Source organism: Homo sapiens, chromosome 17, assembly GCF_000001405.40.
Source record: "Homo sapiens chromosome 17, GRCh38.p14 Primary Assembly".
Taxonomy (NCBI): domain Eukaryota; kingdom Metazoa; phylum Chordata; class Mammalia; order Primates; family Hominidae; genus Homo; species Homo sapiens.
Genome location: NC_000017.11, coordinates 30217558 through 30234263, shown reverse-complemented (window position 1 = coordinate 30234263; position 16706 = coordinate 30217558). Strand labels below are relative to the sequence as shown.

General features: G+C 48.2%; 1 protein-coding gene across 1 annotated transcript in view, besides 21 other annotated features; it reads left to right on the top strand.

The window, feature by feature from the left end:
* Window positions 1-16706, top strand: part of SLC6A4 (solute carrier family 6 member 4) — a 41379-nt gene that overhangs the window by 1434 nt on the left and 23239 nt on the right. Inside the window, exons 2-5 of the mRNA NM_001045.6 lie at window positions 11349-11445; window positions 12183-12648; window positions 15333-15467; window positions 15927-16146. Coding sequence (NP_001036.1) covers window positions 12306-12648; window positions 15333-15467; window positions 15927-16146 — 698 coding nt within the window. The 5' untranslated portion in view covers window positions 11349-11445; window positions 12183-12305. The remainder of the gene's footprint in view (window positions 1-11348; window positions 11446-12182; window positions 12649-15332; window positions 15468-15926; window positions 16147-16706) is intronic.
* Window positions 8167-8367: a silencer, noted in NCBI's record as "peak2787 fragment used in MPRA reporter construct". NCBI's record gives its function as "represses an SCP1 promoter by STARR-seq MPRAs in K562 erythroleukemia cells {active_cell/tissue: K562}" and the evidence as "EXISTENCE:reporter gene assay evidence [ECO:0000049][PMID:32103011]".
* Window positions 11306-11821: an enhancer, noted in NCBI's record as "H3K4me1 hESC enhancer chr17:28549461-28549976 (GRCh37/hg19 assembly coordinates)". NCBI's record gives its function as "activates a minimal SCP1, AML or CMV promoter by ChIP-STARR-seq in naive H9 embryonic stem cells {active_cell/tissue: H9 hESC(naive)}" and the evidence as "EXISTENCE:reporter gene assay evidence [ECO:0000049][PMID:30033119]".
* Window positions 12649-12947: an enhancer, noted in NCBI's record as "STin2.12 VNTR fragment used in reporter constructs; includes 12.4 repeat unit copies". NCBI's record gives its function as "allele-dependent enhancer in E10.5 midbrain, hindbrain and spinal cord floor plate in transgenic mice, and by transfection assays in JAR cells and differentiating ES cells; negatively regulated by retinoic acid and lithium chloride" and the evidence as "EXISTENCE:reporter gene assay evidence [ECO:0000049][PMID:12542679, PMID:10481059, PMID:17360901]" and "EXISTENCE:transgenic organism evidence [ECO:0001131][PMID:10611371]".
* Window positions 12649-12947: a protein binding site, noted in NCBI's record as "STin2.12 gel shift fragment; includes CTCF sites 1-4". NCBI's record gives the evidence for it as "EXISTENCE:chromatin immunoprecipitation evidence [ECO:0000226][PMID:21309950]" and "EXISTENCE:protein binding evidence [ECO:0000024][PMID:17360901]".
* Window positions 12656-12898: an enhancer, noted in NCBI's record as "STin2.12 allele fragment used in reporter constructs". NCBI's record gives its function as "high activity enhancer in transfected rat prefrontal cortical cells when combined with the S allele of the 5-HTTLPR; activity is subject to CTCF-mediated repression; increased activity in response to cocaine treatment in cooperation with the S allele of the 5-HTTLPR in stably transfected human JAR cells" and the evidence as "EXISTENCE:reporter gene assay evidence [ECO:0000049][PMID:19860858, PMID:21309950]".
* Window positions 12674-12879: a tandem repeat, noted in NCBI's record as "STin2 polymorphic region; 12.4 copies of a 16-17 bp tandemly repeated unit found in the STin2.12 reference genome allele; includes RP1-RP12 plus an additional partial repeat". NCBI's record gives the evidence for it as "COORDINATES:sequence similarity evidence [ECO:0000044][PMID:9149321, PMID:12542679, PMID:15229244, PMID:10481059, PMID:17360901]".
* Window positions 12708-12724: an enhancer, noted in NCBI's record as "repeat unit c used in reporter constructs; overlaps RP3". NCBI's record gives its function as "moderately active enhancer in transfected JAR cells; low activity enhancer in differentiating ES cells" and the evidence as "EXISTENCE:reporter gene assay evidence [ECO:0000049][PMID:12542679]".
* Window positions 12713-12732: a protein binding site, noted in NCBI's record as "YB-1 site 1 or VNTR 3/4 oligo overlapping RP3-RP4; binding is inhibited by CTCF". NCBI's record gives the evidence for it as "EXISTENCE:protein binding evidence [ECO:0000024][PMID:15229244]".
* Window positions 12714-12730: an enhancer, noted in NCBI's record as "c/d repeat unit fragment used in reporter constructs; overlaps RP3-RP4". NCBI's record gives its function as "moderately active enhancer in transfected JAR cells; high activity enhancer in differentiating ES cells" and the evidence as "EXISTENCE:reporter gene assay evidence [ECO:0000049][PMID:12542679]".
* Window positions 12732-12745: a nucleotide motif, noted in NCBI's record as "nucleotide_motif; CTCF Site 1 overlapping RP4-RP5 d-e repeat units". NCBI's record gives the evidence for it as "EXISTENCE:motif similarity evidence [ECO:0000028][PMID:17360901]".
* Window positions 12741-12757: an enhancer, noted in NCBI's record as "repeat unit e used in reporter constructs; overlaps RP5". NCBI's record gives its function as "low activity enhancer in differentiating ES cells" and the evidence as "EXISTENCE:reporter gene assay evidence [ECO:0000049][PMID:12542679]".
* Window positions 12758-12807: a transcriptional cis regulatory region, noted in NCBI's record as "region deleted in the STin2.9 allele; includes RP6-RP8 consisting of f, d and g repeat units". NCBI's record gives its function as "reduces enhancer activity in transfected human JAR cells and rat prefrontal cortical cells when compared to the STin2.9 allele, which lacks this segment" and the evidence as "COORDINATES:sequence similarity evidence [ECO:0000044][PMID:9149321]" and "EXISTENCE:reporter gene assay evidence [ECO:0000049][PMID:12542679, PMID:19860858, PMID:17360901]".
* Window positions 12764-12780: an enhancer, noted in NCBI's record as "f/d repeat unit fragment used in reporter constructs; overlaps RP6-RP7 in the STin2.12 allele; not present in the STin2.9 allele and partially absent in the STin2.10 allele". NCBI's record gives its function as "high activity enhancer in differentiating ES cells" and the evidence as "EXISTENCE:reporter gene assay evidence [ECO:0000049][PMID:12542679]".
* Window positions 12766-12789: a protein binding site, noted in NCBI's record as "YB-1 site 2 or VNTR6/7 oligo overlapping RP6-RP7; binding is inhibited by CTCF". NCBI's record gives the evidence for it as "EXISTENCE:protein binding evidence [ECO:0000024][PMID:15229244]".
* Window positions 12775-12807: a transcriptional cis regulatory region, noted in NCBI's record as "region deleted in the STin2.10 allele; includes RP7-RP8 consisting of d and g repeat units". NCBI's record gives its function as "increases enhancer activity in transfected human JAR cells and differentiating mouse ES cells, and in E10.5 developing rostral hindbrain of transgenic mice when compared to the STin2.10 allele, which lacks this segment; increases activity in response to cocaine treatment; may cooperate with the S allele of the 5-HTTLPR" and the evidence as "COORDINATES:sequence similarity evidence [ECO:0000044][PMID:9149321]", "EXISTENCE:reporter gene assay evidence [ECO:0000049][PMID:12542679, PMID:10481059, PMID:21309950]" and "EXISTENCE:transgenic organism evidence [ECO:0001131][PMID:10611371]".
* Window positions 12782-12795: a nucleotide motif, noted in NCBI's record as "nucleotide_motif; CTCF Site 2 overlapping RP7-RP8 d-g repeat units". NCBI's record gives the evidence for it as "EXISTENCE:motif similarity evidence [ECO:0000028][PMID:17360901]".
* Window positions 12791-12807: an enhancer, noted in NCBI's record as "repeat unit g used in reporter constructs; overlaps RP8". NCBI's record gives its function as "low activity enhancer in differentiating ES cells" and the evidence as "EXISTENCE:reporter gene assay evidence [ECO:0000049][PMID:12542679]".
* Window positions 12815-12828: a nucleotide motif, noted in NCBI's record as "nucleotide_motif; CTCF Site 3 overlapping RP9-RP10 d-g repeat units". NCBI's record gives the evidence for it as "EXISTENCE:motif similarity evidence [ECO:0000028][PMID:17360901]".
* Window positions 12824-12840: an enhancer, noted in NCBI's record as "repeat unit g used in reporter constructs; overlaps RP10". NCBI's record gives its function as "low activity enhancer in differentiating ES cells" and the evidence as "EXISTENCE:reporter gene assay evidence [ECO:0000049][PMID:12542679]".
* Window positions 12848-12861: a nucleotide motif, noted in NCBI's record as "nucleotide_motif; CTCF Site 4 overlapping RP11-RP12 d-f repeat units". NCBI's record gives the evidence for it as "EXISTENCE:motif similarity evidence [ECO:0000028][PMID:17360901]".
* Window positions 12863-12879: an enhancer, noted in NCBI's record as "f/d repeat unit fragment used in reporter constructs; overlaps RP12 and a partial repeat that follows in the STin2.12 reference genome allele". NCBI's record gives its function as "high activity enhancer in differentiating ES cells" and the evidence as "EXISTENCE:reporter gene assay evidence [ECO:0000049][PMID:12542679]".

Below are 16706 nucleotides of genomic sequence, written 5' to 3'. Positions count from 1 at the left end.
AGAGATATAACCACCAGCACAGATATTCAAACCCATTTTTTTCAATCTCCTTGTTTAAGAAATATATATATACTAGGAGTGGGATGGGGGAATAATGTTGATGTTTTAATGGAATCTGAAAGACCTCAGAAATTCCTCTCGGGGGATGTTTAGAGTCGTCTGAGCATTTTGATGAAACTTGGAGAGGCATGTTGAAGAGTTTCGCAAATAGGTGAGGTGCCTGAGGAATGGGGATGCTTGGCTGGAGGGGGGTTAGGAGCATGGATCAGTCTGTTTCTTACAGCAGGTGCTTGCTTCCCAAACACCCTGGATGTCCGCTGCCAAACAGAAACACAGGTAACTCCAGACATTAAGCCAATACGTGGCAGCTCCTTCTCCTTCCTAGTTGTGGAATGAATGGTATAATTGGAGAGAATATAGAAGGCAGGGCTTCCTGAAGAAGCTTAATTTTAATTTGGCTTCATGAATCAACAGGATATGGTCATGACTTGACTTTTTCTAAAGATGTCTGGACAGCCAGAGCAAAAATTATACAGTCACTTTTGGTTGTTGTTGAGAAGGTAACTCAGACCTTAGTTATTCCCAGTAACATATCAGCTCCTCGTGGTCCTCAGCTCTAAATGAGGGGCTGTGGAGAGGACTGCCTAACACGATGTCCGAGTCCCCTCCAACTCACTCTGCAACCATGACCCTAACCTCTCCACTTTAAGAAAACATGAGTTGAAATGATGGTGCAAAAATGCCGGAGGGCCGGTACTCTCTACCCAGATATCACCTTCAAATCAGGGTCTCCTGGGGATCCCCTCAGGTTTCACTCTAAGGCAGAGGCTTTGCACACTCTGACACATGTAAGTAAGTTAACCCCTGCACCTTAACCACAGCCAACCAACAGGGGCCCAATAACCCGACTCCCCAGCTGCCCAAATGCCCTTTGCAAGATGCCCAGGGTGTGGTGCGGTAGAAATAGCCCCCAGGCAGCACAAATTTGGGCTGCACCGATTTTCCTGTCCAGTCCCTGGGCTATTAACAGCCACCTCCACTCCCTGATGTTTGCGGTGTTCCATGGAACATACGTGGGTGTGGAGCGAAACATCTCATAAAAGCGCCTGTTTCTCCACACTTGGGACAAGTGAGGCAGACTCCCTTGCTCTTACAGGGAATCTGTTTCTGGGCTTAACCAGGCAAAATGACATTCCAAGGGAAGAAAACTCCCATCTTTCTAGGAGGGACCCAGGGGAAAACAGATGAAACTAGCCTTTCACAGAAACCTGGCATCAATGATCTTCCCTGAGCAGAAAGGCAAATTGCTCTTCCAGGTGGGCACGGGCTCCACCATTGGCCTGCACAGCCCCGTACTTCCAGGTGGAGCTCACGGTGCTGACTTTGGTTCACATTCAGAAATGTTGCCCTGTGAGAAACGTCTCTGCAGGGGCTGCTCCCTTCAGCCTGACTTTTGTTTGCTCTGGGTGACTGGGAAGACGAATGCTCATTTACTGAATGTCAACAACGCGCTTTTAAATGGGAGCAAGTGTTTTCCCAGCCCTGTGTCTAATGAGGTGACAAAATGAGTAGCGATAAAGTGGATGTGAGGCAGTCTGACTGCCTTATTATTATTTCCATCTTTCCTTTGGCCCCTCTGGAACCTGGCAGCAGCTCCCCAGCTTCCATCCCAACCCTGAACCAAGGGGATTTGTTAATGGGATTTAAGCCACAGGCTCTTTAGCACCCAGGACTGGATGGACCTCCATTAATCCCAGAAGCCCCTGGGCTGCAAAAGGAGAGACGCAACCCAGTGATGTGGAGACAGAGAGGCAATGTCCCAGGTCTTCAGGTACTGACGAGTGACAGACAGCAAGGGGAGGGTCTCCTGGGATGCTGATGTCCAGTTCTTCAGGTCATTCTTTGAGGTAGGGAGGGAAGAGGTGACAGGAGGGGTTATGATGAGACCAGGTGGTGATCTGGGCGAGCACTTCTCAGCAAAGCTGGGGACACAGCGAACCCATTGTGTGCTTTGGGAGAGCCCAGAGCCCCAGACTGGGTGGGCAGCTAGCAGGAGGGGGCAAGTACGTGGGCCTTTGCCGTCTTGGGTTTTGGTGTGACCTTTCTGTGTGTATACAGGAAAAAAGAGCATTTCATTTCCTTTGTTACTGAACTGTTGAATAAAATAAGCTGATTTGTCTTCTCTAAGGGAACTTTTTCCTCTAAGGGGCCAAGAATTAGTGAGTGGGAGACCTGGAAGGACCAGGGAGGGGTTCTGCTCCCCGTAGCTCTGTGCATGGCTGGCTCTAGCTCACCCACGGCTCTTGAGGACAAAGCCAGGCCTAGAACTTGAGTCTCTTCTACTTTCGCTCTCTTCTCTTCCCTCCGTAATGATGGGCATGTCTTCTTTAAAAGGCGAACCAAATTAGCTGGCCCTTTCTCTTGTTTCAGAGTTGGGGAGCTGGGCCGAAGGAACAGGGAGGGAAGAGCCTGGAGGGGAGAGGGGAGGTAAGCTGTTCTGGTCAGCAGGGAGCTTTGGCTGACTGGAAGTTTCCCAGCACTGGCTGAGGGCTAGAATTATTTTTTCTTTTGAAAATTTTCAACTGAAAAATCAGAGATATGGTCCATTTTCACCAGTTAACATTTTGCCAATTTGTGTACAAAGTCACTCTAATTATGCATATATCTAATTTTTGCATATGCAGTATATATATGATTTGATATATTATGTGTAATATATAAGATCATTAATATAATTATGCCATTTATGTATCTGTATGTATACATACAGATATATATACACACTATATATACACATATGTACATACAGATACATACAGATATATATATACATATGTACATACAGATACATACAGTGTATATATGTGTCTGTATACACTATATGTATATATAAACTATATGTATCTGTATGTATACCTACAGATATATATAGTGTGTATATATATATCTGTAGGTATACATACAGGTATATATATACTATATATATAGGTTCAACTAATATATATAGTTGAACCTTTGAGAGTTTGCAGACTTCCAGATACTTCTTCCTTAAATACTTCAACACAGATTTCCAACAAACAAGGACCTTCTTGTACGTAACCACAGCGCCATTTTCATGCTGGGGAAACTGGAGATAGATACAATACTATTATCGCACATACAGCTCATATTCCCATTTCCCCCGCTGTCTCAATGATGTCCTTTTTAGCATACAGTGTTACTCTGTGAGACTGTAAACTAGGGGTCAGAAAGTTTTTCTTGCTCTCATCTCAGTGCATATCTGAGAACTAGACTGGTGCAATGATGTGTAAGGATGAACTGATTTTTCATGAGTGTCTCCAACTGTGTGACTCACACTAAAGCACATCTCAGAAATTGTTGACCTAAGAGTATAGGCACCTTTGAGCAGCAACAGCCAAACTCCAAACACCTTGTGGCTGAAGAGGTGGTTGCACGTGTCCTCCGCGCCCCCTCTCCACCTGGATGCACCCGTCTCCTCCAGCAGCCTCACCTCACCTGACCTCACCTCTCCTTCTCCCCTCCATGCCCCACCCAGAGAAATGGGCCAGTTTCCCCTCTCTTTTCTCTTCTCCACTCCCATTTTATTTTGTAGTTCCACTTCAAACCCCCTTTTCCCCACTTCCCTCTTCCGCCTTGCTCAGCAGCCACAGGTGAATCCACCCTTATTTCATAGCACCCTCTCCCTGGGGTTGTTTTTTCCTCTCTTCTCTCTGTTTTGGGTCCCTTTGTGGACCCAATCATGTCTGTTTTACACAAAGGTAATCTTAGTAACATACCTGTATAAAGGAAAAGAAAAGCTGTGTGTGGACATGTTCCCATGTGTTCTATCTCGATTTTTACTTATTGCATAAATTGTATTTATCACAACAGTAAAGGAGTGTTTGGAAGGTGAAGTGACACTCCTAATCCTGATTAATCTAACACATCATCTGTTTTGAGTTTCTCAAGTCTCTTTCCCAGCCTCGTCCACATTTAAATATACTATGGTAACAGAGTAAAAGCAGTTTTGTTTTCTGCAAAAAGTTGTAAGTTGTGAAATTATGTGTCACAAGCAATTCATGTCACCAACTTCTTCTTCTTCCTCTTCCTCTTCCTCCTCCTCCTCCTCCTCCTCCTCCTCTTCCTCTTCCTCTTCCTCTTCCTCCTCTTCTTCTTCTTCTTCTTCTTCTTCTTCTTCTTCTTCTTCTTCTTCTTCTTTCTTCTTTTTCTTCTTCTTCTTTTTTGAGATGGAGTTTCGCTCCTGTTGTCCAGGCTGGAGTGCAATGGCCCGATCTCAGCTCACCACAACCTCTGCCTCCTGGGTTCAAGCTATTCTCCTGCCTCAGCCTCTAAAAGGCTGGTATTACAGGCATGCGCCACCATGCCTGGCTAATTTTTGTATTTTTAGTAGAGACAGGGTTTCTCCATGTTGATCAGGCTGGTCTCGAACTCTGACCTCAGGTGATCCGCCCACCTTGGCCTCCCAAAGTGCTGGGATTACAGGCATGTGACACTGCGCCCAGCCCATGTCATCAACTTCTAAAGAACTTGGACCAGGCGCAGTGGCTCATGCTGTAATCTCAGCACTTTGGGAGGCTGAGGCAGGAGGATCGCTGGAGTCCAGGAGTTCAAGACCAGCCTGGGCAACATAGCGAGATCTCATCTCTACTGTGTATTTTAAAATTGAACAACAAACAAAACTAAAGACCTCAAAAGTGCCTAAAAGACACCTCCGTGGAATCTGTACAAGGATCTCCCTGCTCCTTGTTCTTCTTTCCTTAAATTTAGTTTTCCTTAAGAACCAAAAAGAAGGTTAAAATAAAGAAAGAACTTCGAATCAGTCTCATTGTCAGCCCCCTCCCCACCCCTAAGCCGTCGTGTAGCACTTAACAACGCTGTGTTCTACAGCTTTCGTTTCAGATGTTTTAGTTTATCACATTTATTTCTGTGGGTTAGGAAATATATTCTAAGTTCCAAACCACCAGCTCACAGATGAACATTTGGAGCCCAGACCGCTGATGGGTGTGCCTGCCAGTACTTGTTTCAAAGTCTGAAAGCCCATCCCGGGCTCTTTAATCCTGGGCATGTCAGTCTCTTCCTGTCCATAGTCCATGAAAATGACTGTTAAGGCAGCCCTCCTCCTCTGCCCACAAGATGCACAGCCAATCTTCCCGATGGGTGAGGCAGGGAGGGACAGGGCCCCTTAGAATAGAACCCTGATCCCATTTGACTTAACTCCAGGGAGGAGAGAAAGAGCAGCACCTCACATGGAGCTCAGATCTGTTGGCACCCTCGCCCAGTCAGGAAACCCAAAACAAGCCCTCCATGCTGAGAGCTGTACAGGGCGTGCTCCAGTCTGCAAGTATTTGGACTCAGGGACGTGTAGCCATAGCCCCTGCTTCCAGGGGCACACGAAGCAAATGTATATAAAAGGATAACTAATGATGCCTGGTAATCAATGGCGAGTGACAAATGAGAATTGAGTAGAAAGAGTGTATCTTGGGCTGGAGTGCTGAGAGGAGGTGGATAGAAGCTTATGCCAGGCCTTGGAGGGTGCAGGATAATTAGAGGAAGGGAAGCTACAGGTGGGGACGCACACGGCACTGTTGGTGCCTACTGGCCCCTGAATAACCTGCGGTATTTGTTAAAAACTGCAGATCCCTGAGTGCCCACGTGGATCTCTTGAATTAGAATCTCTGGGAGAGCAGCCCAGGAGTCTGTTTCCCAGGTGACCCCAAGCACTGATTGAGAGCAGCAAGCATGACCCAGTGAGGCCCGTGCTGGGAGCCACAGATCACTTAAGTCCCAAGTCTTGTGGGCCTCAGTTTCCCTGCTAGGGTATGAAGTAGAAAGGCACAATGGGTTGCGGATGTATGGTGGTGATAGTGACATCAACTCACTGTCATTTATTGATGCTTCCCTGTGCTAGACACTGAGATAAGCATGTGTCATACTTTAATTCCCACGACAGCCTTTAGGAAGTAGCGGTTTTAACAGTCTGCTTTTACACAGGAGGAAATGGAAGCTAAGAGAGGTTAAGTGACCTACTCAAAGTCACACAGCCATTAAGTGGTGGACCAGGGATTCCAGTGCAGACCTGAAACAGAAAGGAGAGCTATGGGTTGTGAACAGAGGAACTAATGAAAGATGACTCTGGAAGGAAGTTAGTCTGGGCTTGGCTGTTTATATTCACTGGAGGAGGGCTGTTCACATCTGCTATGCTAAATTCATTTCTTTCTAGTAAAGTCAAAATAAATAATCCAGTATCCTTTTGGCCAGCCTCTCAGGGGGACCTTGACCCCATCACAAGGGGCATATCCTCTAGATTTTATACTCTGTGTAGAGAGAAGCCCAGGGCTATCCTCTCCCAGGCAGGGAAAGTTCTGGACAGAAATTCTTTTTCTTTCTCATGATAACTGGCCCAAATGGCCCTGAGGATTTTATCCTATTTAATTCCTCTCCAAAAAATTAAACCAGGCTGGGTGCAGTGGATCATGCCTGTAATCCCAGCACTTTGGGAGGCCAAGGCGGGAGGATTGCTCATAGGCCAGGAGTTCAAGACCAACCTGGGCAACATGGTGAAACCCCATCTCTGAAAAAAATACAAAAAATTAGCTGGGTGTGGTGGCACACACCTGTAATCTCAGCTACTCGGGAGCCTGAGGTGGGAGGATTCCTTGAGCCCGGGAGGTTGAGGCTGCAGAGAGCCATGATCATGCCACTGCACTCCAGCCTGGATGACAGTGCAAGACTCTGTCTCTTAAAAAAACAACACACACACACACACAAACACACACACAAAGGAACAGAAAAAACACTAAACTGACTCTGTCATATGAGGAATCCTTTGGATAAGGAGATGGCTGTGATAGTGGAGTTCATTTCTACCCTTTTTGTCCAAAAAAAAAACAAGCAGATTTTCTCTATTCTCTTCATTTCTATCATGAAATCTCTTCAATTCATTGGAAAGGCAAGGCAGGAGTCCCTATGGCTTCCGACCTGTGCCCCCATGACCCTGCACACTTCGGGAACACAGCAGTGCCTTCAGCAGATGCAAACGTGAGCCCCCATTTTACACTGCAGAGCCTGCAAGGAAGGATCAGCCAACAGCCAAGGTCCTGTGAGAGAAACTGTGCAATAGCAGCAAAGGAAGACTTAAAGCCTGGGGGCAACTGTGGTGCAAAACATGTGAGCTATCTAAACACGCCGCGGCGAGCCAGCGGCAGCCTCTGTTCACCACGGGATGTGTGGCAGCACCAGCCTCTCCAGAAGCATCGTGTTTTTCCTAGCAGTTGGTTTTCTTTTTCAGATTTTAGGCTTGGCCTGTGGACTCCATGCAGGCAGGACTGTGCCTGCCTTGTTTCTTTTTTCTTTCTTTTTCTTTTTTTTTTGAGACAGAGTCTCACTCTATCGCCCAGGCTGGAGCGCAGTTTGGCTGACTGTAACCTCTGCCTCCCAGGTTCAGGCGATTCTCATGCATCAGTCTTCTGAGTAGCTGGGATTACAGACATGCACCACCACGCCCGGCTCATTTTTTGTATTTTTATTTTTATTTATTTATTTGAGACAGAGTTTCACTCTTGTCACTCAGGCTGAAGTGTAGTGGCTCAATCTCAGCTCACTGCAACCTCCGCTTCCTGGGTTCAGGCAATTCTCCTGCCTCAGCCTCACAAGTAGCTGAGATTACAGGCACCCGCCACCACACCCAGCTACTTTTTGTATTTTTAGTAGAGACAGGATTTCACCATGCTGGCCACGCTGGTCTCAAACTCCTGACCTCAGGTGATCCGCCCGCCTTGGCTTCCCAAAGTGCTGGGATTACAGGCGTGAGCCAGCTGGCCCGGCTTGCCTGCCTTGTTTCTGAGGAGCCGAGCACATGTGGGCCTACGCACATCTTTGCTGAGGGAGTGCTTCTCCATGAAGAAGGCCAGATTCCATGTTTACTGCTTCGGGCGGCACCAGCGTTCCATAATTCCCATCACTCTTGGGAGATGCCCTGGGAACTTCAGCCTCCCTCTGAATAGAGGATACGAACTGCCAGTTGGCTCTATGACCTGTAACTAATCCTATCTCAACGTTAAACCCACAGTTCATTTGTTTTTGTTTGTTTTGAGAAAGAAAGTTGAGTTTCCTGAGAAATGAACTCACTTTGATCTTGACACATGAAGTCAAAGTTCAACATTTCTGTAGTGTCTTTCTGCTTAGAAGGCACTGATAGGCATCAAGTAGATGGAGCGTCACAGGCATTTCCAAAGGGCTGGGTGTTTATGACCAATCGGGATAATTACATGCTTGTTCAGGTACGGGTTGCTCCTGGCTATAGAGACAAAGTGTGTGGAAAGAGGAATGGAGATTCGATCAGAAGTTTAAATAGAAACAGTCCTTTTTTACTTGGAGTCAGGGATTGGGGGAATGGAGTGCATTAGCTTCAGGAGAGTTAAGAGAAAGTCAACCACTCCCATTGGCTGGTCAACTGCACCCCTCATGTGCAGAGACCTAGGGGGACGAAGCTTCTGTCTGCCAGCTGTCATTCCACAGCAGAGGTGGGGTCCACGGCACCACCCTCAGCCTGTCACCAGCTCAGCCTGGAACAACAGCACACATCCAAGATGCAAAGGAAGGCTTCCTTCTGGGGCTTTTTCTGGACATGGAGAAACTCAAAGACTGCCTGGAGAAGGTCACAGCTGTAATATTGACCTCGTTTGCAATCTTTCCACCCAGCAGGATAAAAATACCTTTTAAAAAAAGAAAGCTTAGAAGAGGGCATTCTCAGAAACCAACCTTCTTAACAACTCACACTTCTCTATTCCTGGGCCAGCTTGTTTTCAGCCATTGTTATGTGCAAGTCTTGATAGAAAAAGCCAGCCAGGGCTCTGCAGAATCAGAAAAAATAGGAAGAGAGTCTGGGGCTCCACAGGCAGGAGCTTGCAGGCAGAAAGGGCCCCGGGCACATGGCATCTTCTCCTGGCAGACCCGATTAGTCACCGAGAGGAGTTTTCCTCTACCTGGCAGAGGCAGAGGAGTAAGTTAAGAAAAGGAGATGTGTGTCTCCTCTGAGTGGCTGTAACTTTGTGTTTGCACCCCAGATTCTATGATGAGGGTGGGGGTTCAGTAGGAGAACCCCAGAAAGCACAGCTGGATAGAGAGAGACAGCCTGTGGGGAGAGGCTGCCCGGTCATGAGTTGTCTGAGGGATGCTCTGGGTTTTCTTGCACTGGGGCCATTTCAGCCTGTTGATGTAAAATTTTTTAATTAAAAAATTAAGAAGAACTAGGGGATATTTCAGGAAACAAGACCTCTGTAATGGCTCAGAACACAAATAGAAACAGCGTATTACTCTTCCAGGAGCTGCTTACCATAGTTGCCAGGAATTCAGGACTGGATGCCTTCGGGGCTGAACCCCTGAGGACTCCTGAGAACACACGTTGCCCTCAAAAATCTACCTACCTGCACACATTTTCTACCCTCTCTGCAGGACGCCTCAAGGAAGAAAGTAAACAAAATCCAGAACAAATCATTTGGCCCCTGAGGCAGGAGGGTAACTGCTCACTGCTGCTGCTAAATGTCTATTTCCTCTCCCCAAAGTATTGCTTCTGAGATGGACCGCATTTCCCTTCCGTAGACCCTCTGGGCCTGGGTAGAGAGGCCAGGGAACGCTTGGGTGATGCAATTGGAGCTTCTATTTAAGTGAGAGGAAAGTGGCAGTACAGAAAATAGAAGAGGTTCTTGCAGAAAATTGTGGGGCCAGGCCAGGCATGGTGTCTCACACCTGTGATCTCAGCTCTTTGGGAGGCCAAGGCGGGTGGATCATGTGAGGTCAGGAGTTCAAGACCATCCTGGCCAACATAGTGAAACCCCATCTCTACTAAAAATATAAAAATTAGCCGGGCATGGTGGAGCACGCCTGTAGTCCCAGCTACTCGGAGGCTGAGGCACAAGAATCGCTTGAACCCGGGAGGCAGAGGTTGCAGTGAGCCAAAATTGTGCCACTGCACACCAGCCTGGGCAACAGAGCAAGACTGTTTCAAAAAAAAAAAAACAAAACTGTGGGGCCAGTGGGAGGAAGAGCAAGGGAAGGAGCAGCTCTGTCAACTCGGTGCCCTCCAGCCGCACAGGGAAAAGCTCTTCCTCCCTGCCATTTGGCCTTCAAGTTCGTCAGTTGTTTAACGTACAAAACATGTCATTGATATAGGCCGGAGGGAAGTACAGAGGCCTTTTTAAACAACACAACCACTGACTACCAAGTTCAGGTTTAATTTAGCTGAATATTTAAATATGTTGACATCTCATCATGTAATAAAATAATAATATCCCTTGGCCTGGTAAATGGTTACCTATGGTGGGTGAGAGGATGTGTGGTTATTTTAAAAGCCTATCAAGCCTAGTTGAGGGCCGAAGGAAGGGGGAAGTGGGGGGAGGCCAAGGCCAGGCAGTAGCATAAATGGTGAGCAGGGTGAGGTTATGGAGACCGCTCTTGTCAGAATTCATATCCTTCTGAGTGGTGTTTGCATTCTTGAGCCTGGGGTGGGTGGCGGAGGGCCCAACAAGTGCGGTACAGCCCAAGACGTCTACCTCCCCTTACACACACACAGCCCCTAGCTACATGAAGCTGATTTATCTCTTGTTGCTGTAGATATTTTTGGCAACAATCGATCCCTTTAAAATTTTTATTTTCCACTTTACAGAAAAAATGCAGCAAACGCCAAACCCTAGTGACTGACATTGCCTGGTGTTCATGTCTAATCCTTGCTCATGTTTATAGCCATAGTCATTCTTGTGAAGCTACTATTTTGTGTCCTGATTTTTCACTTACTATGTTTTTGTCTTCACATGTGTAGGTAGCTAAGTTGCAGTCACCAAAAACCCCAAATAGGTAGGAGACATCCATGCGCCATTTCTATTAGCCAGTTCCTAGCCATCCTCCTAACTGTTGGATCTGGAGGGTTAGCCTCAGATCATTGCAGTTATAAACAGTCCATCCCTGGCTATCTTTTCTAGAAGGGTCCAGTGTCATCTCAGCTAGGCAGAAACGTATTTCAACTCCCAAACTGTTTCAAGAGTTTGAAAAGCTCAGGCCCAGAAGAAACAGAGTGAGCAGTTGAACAGTCTTACAACTGCTGCTTACAACTTTATAACAGGCCATAGGTTTAAAGTCCAAAAGGGCTCAAATTTCTACCCCACGTTTGACGACTCAGACCTCAAGCCAGAGCTGAGCTGACTTCCCTGCGCCCAGGCCACGGCGGTGAAATGAAGGCACAGCAGCCCCGGCCAGGCCCTCCCAGTGGAGGCACAGGGGGACGGCGACACCAACCACCCCAGCATCAGTAACCTGCACACTCTTCTCCCTAGGTCTCCTGGAGGCAAGGCGACCTTGCTTGCCCTCTCTTGCAGAATAACAAGGGGCTTAGCCACAGGAGTTGCTGGCAAGTGGAAAGAAGAACAAATGGTGAGCAGCAGTGCCGTTTAAGGACCAGTCGGGCTTGCAAATGCATAATGGGAACGCAGAAAGGCCATGTGCAGATAGACTGGACACAGCCGGAGGCAGCTCAAATCTGCCCCAACCTTCCTAGGGGCTAAAAGACGAGTGACAGAATCTGTAGCTGATGAGCTGGGGTGCCTCACGAAGGGTGGCCTTTTTACCTCTGTCCTTTGCTTTTTTCCTTTTAAAATCATAGCTGTAGTTGATATAAAATATAACTTTGGGTGTGCAGCTTAAATGATGGTGAGGACTGTCCTGCCTGCTGAAAGGCAGAAACGCCTTTGCTTGTCATTGTTTCCCCAACATAGCATCCAAGACAAAGGGGGTGCTCTGTGACGCTTTGGAGCCTCTCTCACATTCTTCTGAGCTGCTGGCAAACCACAAGATGAGAGTCCAGTGGCTCAAAGGGAAGCGAGTGCTTTGCTCTCCAGTCCAGCCTGTGCAAACCTTGGTGATTTGCTGTCTATTTGTGTTGGTTTTATTGTTTCCTTTTGAAATTACTTGATTGTCATTTGATGCCCTGTATAGGTTGAGAAATTTAGTTGAATTTATGGACTGCCATGTAGCAAATAGGATGTCTCACATTTAACAGATGCATTTGTAATCCCGTTAACTAATGTAGTTTAAGATGTATGATGAGTTAATACCAAAGATGAGTAAAATGTCTAACTTTTTTCTCCTTCCTCTGTGTGTCTTTCCAACAGAGTCAATCCCGACGTGTCAATCCCGACGATAGAGAGCTCGGAGGTGATCCACAAATCCAAGCACCCAGAGATCAATTGGGATCCTTGGCAGATGGACATCAGTGTCATTTACTAACCAGCAGGATGGAGACGACGCCCTTGAATTCTCAGAAGCAGCTATCAGCGTGTGAAGATGGAGAAGATTGTCAGGAAAACGGAGTTCTACAGAAGGTTGTTCCCACCCCAGGGGACAAAGTGGAGTCCGGGCAAATATCCAATGGGTACTCAGCAGTTCCAAGTCCTGGTGCGGGAGATGACACACGGCACTCTATCCCAGCGACCACCACCACCCTAGTGGCTGAGCTTCATCAAGGGGAACGGGAGACCTGGGGCAAGAAGGTGGATTTCCTTCTCTCAGTGATTGGCTATGCTGTGGACCTGGGCAATGTCTGGCGCTTCCCCTACATATGTTACCAGAATGGAGGGGGTCAGTATCACAGGCTGCGAGTAGAGGCTGTGACCCAGGGTGGGCTGTGACCCGGAGTGGGCTGTGACCCGGGGTGGGCTGTGACCCGGGTGGGCTGCGACCTGGGGTGGGCTGTGACCTGGGATGGGCTGTGACCCGGGTGGGCTGTGACCTGGGGTGGGCTGTGACCCGGGTGGGCTGTGACCTGGGGTGGGCTGTGACCCGGGTGGGCTGTGACCTGGGATGGGCTGTAGGTCCTCTTGAGAGGCCAGAAGACAGATTATGTCTTTTCAGTCTTCACTGGCGTAAGACTAGGAACATGATGACTTAGACTTTCGAGCTGGTAGAAAAGTCAAATCTCGCCAGGCGTGGTGGCTCACACCTGTAATCCCAGCACTTTGGGAGGCTGAGGCAGGTGGATCACCTGAGGTCAGGAGTTCAAGACCAGCCTGACCAACATGGCAAAACCCCGTCTCCACTAAAAATATAAAAATTAGCTGGGTATGGTGGTGGGCGCCTGTAGTCCCAGCTACTTGGGAGGCTGAGGCAGGAGAATCACTTGAACCTGGGAGGTGGAGGTTGCAGTGAGCCGAGATGGCACCACTGCACTCCAGCCTAGGCGACAGAGCGAGACTCTGTCTCAAAAAAAAAAAAAAAAAAAAAAAGTCAAATCTCCAGCAAGCCAAAAGCTGAAGACAGCGTGTCTGAGGCTCTCCGGGTTGTGAAGCTGGGTGAAGCCCTCCCAAACCTGACCTCACAGATCTCCAGCATCATTAGCGCTCCATTTATTGAAGGGCCTCCTTCTCATCCTGCATTCTCCAGGCTCTGTCCTCCCCCAGCCAGAAGTGAGGGAATGGCCGTCAGCCCTGTGCTGAGTCCCTTCACTCCTGCTGGCAAGTTCTGCTGGGAAGAGTCCACGAGGGTAGGCCTGCGTAAGGGAAAATTTGGAGGTGGCTTCAGAGTCCCAGATGCTTCTGATCCTTTGGACCTGTGTGAGGTCAGAGAAGGGCATCAGCGTTAAGTCCTAAATCTTAATTACCAGTCTGGGCAGAATTTAAGCTGGATTAGATCCACAGCATGACATTAATACCAACCTCAAACCACGCATGGCTGGCCCTCCTATCTCCTCCTGGGATGTTAGATTTTTGAGGCCAGAGGCCCTATCTTGTTCCTTGTACCCCTAAAGCCTCTCAAGTAGTTAACTTGTAGATTATAAAAAATAGTAGCTGACTGTAGGCATGAAGATGGGAACCTGGGGGAGAGCAGAGCAGTGGGGAAAAGTGAATGGGTTTGGGGCCTCTGGACTTGTTATCAGCACAAGAAAATAACAAGAAGTGGGTGTCAGATGCGTCAAGCTTGATTTTCATGGGAACTCTGACAACAGATTTGGGAGGGCAGCTACAAAGAGGTTTGGGGATCATCCATTTGTGTCACCCTCACTTCTCCCGTGACCTAACACAGAGTGGCCTGGATTTACTCTCTTTTAAAGATTTCTGTCCATGTAGTTGCAAAGGTAGTTCCAGGGGGCCCCTGGGAAGCTCAGCGCTTCCTGCCTAGGAGGAGCAAAAGTCATAATCACCTTATCTCCTGCTCCAGAGGACTCACCTTTAGCCTGGGCATTATGTAAGGGGCTGGGTCACTGGTGACATTTCCCCGACACTCATTCCCCAGCGTAAAGCTGATCAAGCAAACTCTTTGGAGGAAGGCCATCACGAGAACACATGGTTTTATTCTCGAGCCGGGTTTACCCAGTGTGACTGTAAATTACATGGACCTTTCTGATTTGCACAGACCTCAGGTTTCTGGGTTCAGAGCATTTTACAGCAGGGAAAATTAGGGAAAATCACAGCTGATCCACCCTTTAGGCTAAAAACTCAGGCTGCAGGTTAGCATTCCCCAACTTGGTATTTTTAAATTCAGCCTCAGCCACAAGATCCAGGAGACACCAGCATCTCCAGTTAGGTAGCAGCTCTGTGCTTGCTTGTTCTGTGAAAAACTACCCTGTCCAGCCACTCCTGCAAACGGCGCTTGTCAGGGAGCATTCTGGCTCAATGGAATTATGGAAGTGTAGCCAAATATCAATAATCATGTGTCTGGAGCCATAGATAATACTGATGAACAAAGATACTGATTTGGTGACTCACAGAGAGTTGCAGCTGTTGCTACAGATTGTCACAGGTGATCTGTTCCAAGGGTCCCAGGTACTGGCTGCATCGGAATCACCTAGGGAGCTTGAACACAATTTTTGTGTTGTGCCCATGCTTGGAGATTCCGCTTCAGGAGGTCTGGGGTAGACCCAGGAATCTAGGTGACTATGATGTGTGGCTACATTTGGGAAACTCAGCTCTCCTCAACTGTGTTCTTTTATAGGGAGGAAATTGGGGCTCAGAGAGGGGAAGTGGCCCAGCGTTCTCCAGGTAGTCATAAGTGGATGTGATCCTGCCTGTTCTGTCGACTCCCAAACCAGGCTTTCTTCCCAATTGCTCTCTTGGCCTCCTCTGAAACCTCATTTTAGTCATGGTGCTCCCCCTACGACTGCTTCTAGCAAAGCACTGAGACCAGAGGAGCACAGCATGAGGCCACTCAGCCCAGGGTGGCTCCTGACACTCACATCATCCGGCGACTGTGATTCTCAGTCACAGATTGGTTGGGCTATCCTGGGACAGACGTGGGCAGGGAGTGAAATTGTCTTTCATCTGCCTCAGGGGCATTCCTCCTCCCCTACACCATCATGGCCATTTTTGGGGGAATCCCGCTCTTTTACATGGAGCTCGCACTGGGACAGTACCACCGAAATGGATGCATTTCAATATGGAGGAAAATCTGCCCGATTTTCAAAGGTAACTGAAGGGCTCGGTGGGGTGGGTAAGTGGAGCCTCTCAGGAAGGGATTTCCATCAGTGGGTGGGAGCTGGGGACCTTCTTCTGGAATCAGTCAGGCCTTAGGCATCCCTGGGAGACTGCTTGAGTAATTAAGGTTTTGACTGCGTAAGTGGTGTGAAATTGTCAAAGAGAAACAGAATAAACGGCAATGAGAAGTAAACTAATGTAAACATTTTAAAGCATTAACAGGACATGTACACATTTTCTAAAACATGTTACCTTGCAAATACATATGAGTGACTAACGGCAGGGCCACTTTTCCCACGGTGGCCTGGAGTCCTTGGAATGGAATGGAGGGCAGCACCCACGTGTACCCCTCTGCTGGGCTGCGGGGCTCTCCAGTGCCCCGTTTCAGCCTTTTGCCGTTGGGCCACCCTTAAACTCGGCCTCTGTCTCTCCATCTCACCCACTGCCCAGGGATTGGTTATGCCATCTGCATCATTGCCTTTTACATTGCTTCCTACTACAACACCATCATGGCCTGGGCGCTATACTACCTCATCTCCTCCTTCACGGACCAGCTGCCCTGGACCAGCTGCAAGAACTCCTGGAACACTGGCAACTGCACCAATTACTTCTCCGAGGACAACATCACCTGGACCCTCCATTCCACGTCCCCTGCTGAAGAATTTTACACGTAAGTGCACGTAAGTGAGGGGTTGGCCTGTTAGGGGCAGGCCACACCCCTGGGGTTTGGCTTCTTAAAAAGAAGGCCAGGGCCAAGGGCTCCTCACCCCTTTCTGAGAGATGAAGCTATCAGGGGTGGGAGTAGCAGAATTTGGAGCTGGGAAACTCTACCTCAAGTGCTCCACGGCCTGGCCCTGCTGTGCCTCCTTGCACTTTCTCATGCGCCAAGTCAGTTTGCTCCAATGCGCCCAAGCCCGTCCCTCCCTTCACATTCCAAAATTACTCCCCTTCTTCCGGGGTCCTCCTCTCAGCCAAATGTCATGGAGGCGAAGCATCCTAGTACTTTGATAGTTCAAAACTATTCAAATGGTTTAATGTGTCAACTTCGTAAGTGGGATCTACCCTTTGGAAGAAGATGCTTGAGGAAGGTAGTTTTCTTTAATGCTGGAATTTCAGGCAATGGCAGCCCAAAGAGAGAGCTACTTTGGGGTAGGGAAGGGAGCCAACTCCCCACACTTACACATCCCTCATGTTCCCAAAAGCCAGTCACATTGGTCAAAGGAGTTCAGG